We start from the raw sequence: 4,718 nt of genomic DNA, 5'->3' as shown, positions 1-4,718 counted from the left end.
CAAACAAAAAACACTTTACATATACTTGTTACTCTCTAGCTGAGATGAACAAATTAAGATACTATTTAATTAGATATTCAATTTAAATTTACTTTTGATTTTTCTTAACTAGTAAATGTGGGTCTTAAGAGTAGTAAATTTATTTTTCCTTTATAAATACCTGGGGTAAAATGTCAACATTAGCATTATTAGATAATCTCAGGGCAGAAGACAGAGCCTCAAGAGCCAACCATGCTTAAATACCTGCAGATCACTTTAGTTACTTTTATCCAGAATATATCTGTGGTCCATGAAATGATAAAATAGAGTTAACTATTATTATTATACTGTAAGCTAAAAAAAATACTGACAAAAGGTGGGTTTTACAATGAATGAGCAGAGTTTCTGAAATATTTTAAATTCTACATGGATTTAAATATTTTAAATTCCACATTCTACACGGATGAGATTTAATGAGTTTGACCTCAGTAGGACATCAGAGTCCTTCCCTCAGGGGAAGAAAATAAGTATGGTCCATTAGTACACAATAGGAAATAACATACATTTAAATTTATTACCTAGACTCATTTTACTTCTATTTGTATACGGTATATATTTTGCTAGATAATATTATAAAATCAAATATGCTAGCATAGAACTACAAAAGGCTCATTTTTTTACTTACCCTATCTTTATCATATCTTTCCTTCAAATTTATCTATGTGAATACATAAATCACAGTCAAGTGTCATGAAGCATAATCTGATTTGATTTTAAAATCTACACTGGAAATCATTATTCTGAGCACAATAAAAATTTCTTCCAAAAAATTTCTTTTTTTTTTTTTTTTTGGATTTATCAATCTCTTTTGAAAATAGCTTTTGGGCTCTGGACTGGAGCGCAGCATCCTTCGAGGCTGCAGCCGCCACGGCTGTTGCCGTAAGCAATCCTCCTGCCTCAGCCTCCCGAGTAGCTGGGACTCGGGACCAGCCTCCCGAGTATTGGTCAGATGACATTTACCATCACCGTTTTCTTCTTCTTTCATCATCATCATCATCACCATTGCCACTACCACCACCTCCAAGGCCACTACCACCACAGCATCTCTGTTCCTCCATCAGAGCTCTTCAAGTTCTGTAAAGGCAGATTCTCTAAAGGCATACATAAAATTGGTGGAGCTGTTCCCAGAGGAAGAGGAAGGGGGACAGACTGGAACTTGATGTGATGATGGCCTGGTGGCATCACGTTTTTCACATCTCCGCATCTGGACCCTGCCCAAGCGAAGGCTGATCTAGAGACGGGGTTACACCGTGTTAGCCTGGATAGTCTGGATCTCCTGACCTTGTGATCCGCCCGCCTCGGCCTCCGAAAGTGCTGAGATTACAGGCGTGTGCCACCATGCTCGGCCAACAACAGCTATTTAGGGAGGAGCCAAGATGGCCAAATAGGAACAGCTCCGGTCTACAGCTCCAAGCGTGAGCGACGCAGAAGACGGTGATTTCTGCATTTCCATCTGAGGTACCGGGTTCATCTCACTAGGGAGTGCCAGACAGTGGGCGCAGGCCAGTGTGTGTGCGCACCGTGCGCGAGCCGAAGCAGGGCGAGGCATTGCCTCACCTGGGAAGCGCAAGGGGTCAGGGAGTTCCCTTTCCGAGTCAAAGAAAGGGGTGACGGACGCACCTGGAAAATCGGGTCACTCTCACCCGAATATTGCGCTTTTCAGACCGGCTTAAGAAACGGCACACCACGAGACTATATCCCACACCTGGCTCAGAGGGTCCTACGCCCACGGAATCTCGCTGATTGCTAGCACAGCAGTCTGAGATCAAACTGCAAGGCGGCAACGAGGCTGGGGGAGGGGCGCCCGCCATTGCCCAGGCTTGCTTAGGTAAACAAAGCAGCCGGGAAGCTCGAACTGGGTGGAGCCCACCACAGCTCAAGGAGGCCTGCCTGCCTCTGTAGGCTCCACCTCTGGGGGCAGGGCACAGACAAACAAAAAGACAGCAGTAACCTCTGCAGACTTAAATGTCCCTGTCTGACAGCTTTGAAGAGAGCAGTGGTTCTCCCAGCACGCAGCTGGAGATCTGAGAACGGGCAGACTGCCTCCTCAAGTGGGTCCCTGACTCCTGACCCCCGAGCAGCCTAACTGGGAGGCACCCCCCAGCAGGGGCACACTGACACCTCACACGGCAGGGTATTCCAACAGACCTGCAGCTGAGGGCCCTGTCTGTTAGAAGGAAAACTAACAACCAGAAAGGACATCTACACCGAAAACCCATCTGTACATCACCATCATCAAAGACCAAAAGTAGATAAAACCACAAAGATGGGGAAAAAACAGAACAGAAAAACTGGAAACTCTAAAATGCAGAGCGCCTCTCCTCCTCCAAAGGAATGCAGTTCCTCACCAGCAACAGAACAAAGCTGGATGGAGAATGATTTTGACGAGCTGAGAGAAGAAGGCTTCAGACGATCAAATTACTCTGAGCTACGGGAGGACATTCAAACCAAAGGCAAAGAAGTTGAAAACTTTGAAAAAAATTTAGAAGAATGTATAACTAGAATAACCAATACAGAGAAGTGCTTAAAGGAGCTGATGGAGCTGAAAACCAAGGCTCGAGAACTAGGTGAAGAATGCAGAAGCCTCAGGAGCCGATGCGATCAACTGGAAGAAAGGGTATCAGCAATGGAAGATGAAATGAATGAAATGAAGCGAGAAGGGAAGTTTAGAGAAAAAAGAATAAAAAGAAATGAGCAAACCCTCCAAGAAATATGGGACTATGTGAAAAGACCAAATCTACGTCTGCTTGGTGTACCTGAAAGTGATGGGGAGAATGGAACCAAGTTGGAAAACACTCTGCAGGATATTATCCAGGAGAACTTCCCCAATCTAGCAAGGCAGGCCAACGTTCAGATTCAGGAAATACAGAGAACGCCACAAAGATACTCCTCGAGAAGAGCAACTCCAAGACACATAATTGTCAGATTCACCAAAGTTGAAATGAAGGAAAAAATGTTAAGGGCAGCCAGAGAGAAAGGTCGGGTTACCCTCAAAGGAAAGCCCATCAGACTAACAGCGGATCTCTCGGCAGAAACCCTACAAGCCAGAAGAGAGTGGGGGCCAATATTCAACATTCTTAAAGAAAAGAATTTTCAACCCAGAATTTCATATCCAGCCAAACTAAGCTTCATAAGTGAAGGAGAAATAAAATACTTTATAGACAAGCAAATGTTGAGAGATTTTGTCACCACCAGGCCTGCCCTAAAAGAGCTCCTGAAGGAAGCGCTAAACATGGAAAGGAACAACCGGTACCAGCCGCTGCAAAATCATGCCAAAATGTAAAGACCATCAAGACTAGGAAGAAACTGCATCAACTAATGAGCAAAATCACCAGCTAACATCATAATGACAGGATCAAATTCACACATAACAATATTAACTTTAAATATAAATGGACTAAATTCTGCAATTAAAAGACACAGACTGGCAAGTTGGATAAAGAGTCAAGACCCATCAGTGTGCTGTATTCAGGAAACCCATCTCGCGTGCAGAGACACACATAGGCTCAAAATAAAAGGATGGAGGAAGATCTACCAAGCCAATGGAAAACAAAAAAAGGCAGGGGTTGCAATCCTAGTCTCTGATAAAACAGACTTTAAACCAACAAAGATCAAAAGAGACAAAGAAGGCCATTACATAATGGTAAAGGGATCAATTCAACAAGAGGAGCTAACTATCCTAAATATTTATGCACCCAATACAGGAGCACCCAGATTCATAAAGCAAGTCCTGAGTGACCTACAAAGAGACTTAGACTCCCACACATTAATAATGGGAGACTTTAACACCCCACTGTCAACATTAGACAGATCAACGAGACAGAAAGTCAACAAGGATACCCAGGAATTGAACTCAGCTCTGCACCAAGCAGACCTAATAGACATCTACAGAACTCTCCACCCCAAATCAACAGAATATACATTTTTTTTCAGCACCACACCACACCTATTCCAAAATTGACCACATAGTTGGAAGTAAAGCTCCCCTCAGCAAATGTAAAAGAACAGAAATTATAACAAACTATCTCTCAGACCACAGTGCAATCAAACTAGAACTCAGGATTAAGAATCTCACTCAAAGCCGCTCAACTACATGGAAACTGAACAACCTGCTCCTGAATGACTACTGGGTACATAACGAAATGAAGGTAGAAATAAAGATGTTCTTTGAAACCAACGAGAACAAAGACACCACATACCAGAATCTCTGGGACGCATTCAAAGCAGTGTGTAGAGGGAAATTTATAGCACTAAATGCCTACAAGAGAAAGCAGGAAAGATCCAAAATTGACACCCTAACATCACAATTAAAAGAACTAGAAAAGCAAGAGCAAACACATTCAAAAGCTAGCAGAAGGCAAGAAATAACTAAAATCAGAGCAGAACTGAAGGAAATAGAGACACAAAAAACCCTTCAAAAAATCAATGAATCCAGGAGCTGGTTTTTTGAAAGGATCAACAAAATTGATAGACCGCTAGCAAGACTAATAAAGAAAAAAAGAGAGAAGAATCAAATAGACACAATAAAAAATGATAAAGGGGATATCACCACCGATCCCACAGAAATACAAACTACCATCAGAGAATACTACAAACACCTCTACGCAAATAAACTAGAAAATCTAGAAGAAATGGATAAATTCCTCGACACATACACTCTCCCAAGACTAAACCAGGAA

General features: G+C 42.5%; 1 annotated feature.

Moving 5' to 3' along the window:
- Window positions 1,667–2,235: an enhancer, noted in NCBI's record as "NANOG-H3K27ac-H3K4me1 hESC enhancer chr8:92539517-92540085 (GRCh37/hg19 assembly coordinates)". NCBI's record gives its function as "activates a minimal SCP1, AML or CMV promoter by ChIP-STARR-seq in naive H9 embryonic stem cells {active_cell/tissue: H9 hESC(naive)}" and the evidence as "EXISTENCE:reporter gene assay evidence [ECO:0000049][PMID:30033119]".

The sequence above is a fragment of the Homo sapiens genome, chromosome 8 (genome assembly GCF_000001405.40).
Source record: "Homo sapiens chromosome 8, GRCh38.p14 Primary Assembly".
NCBI lineage: Eukaryota > Metazoa > Chordata > Mammalia > Primates > Hominidae > Homo > Homo sapiens.
Note: the sequence above shows the minus strand (reverse complement) of the source record. Positions and strands in the feature narration are given on the sequence as shown.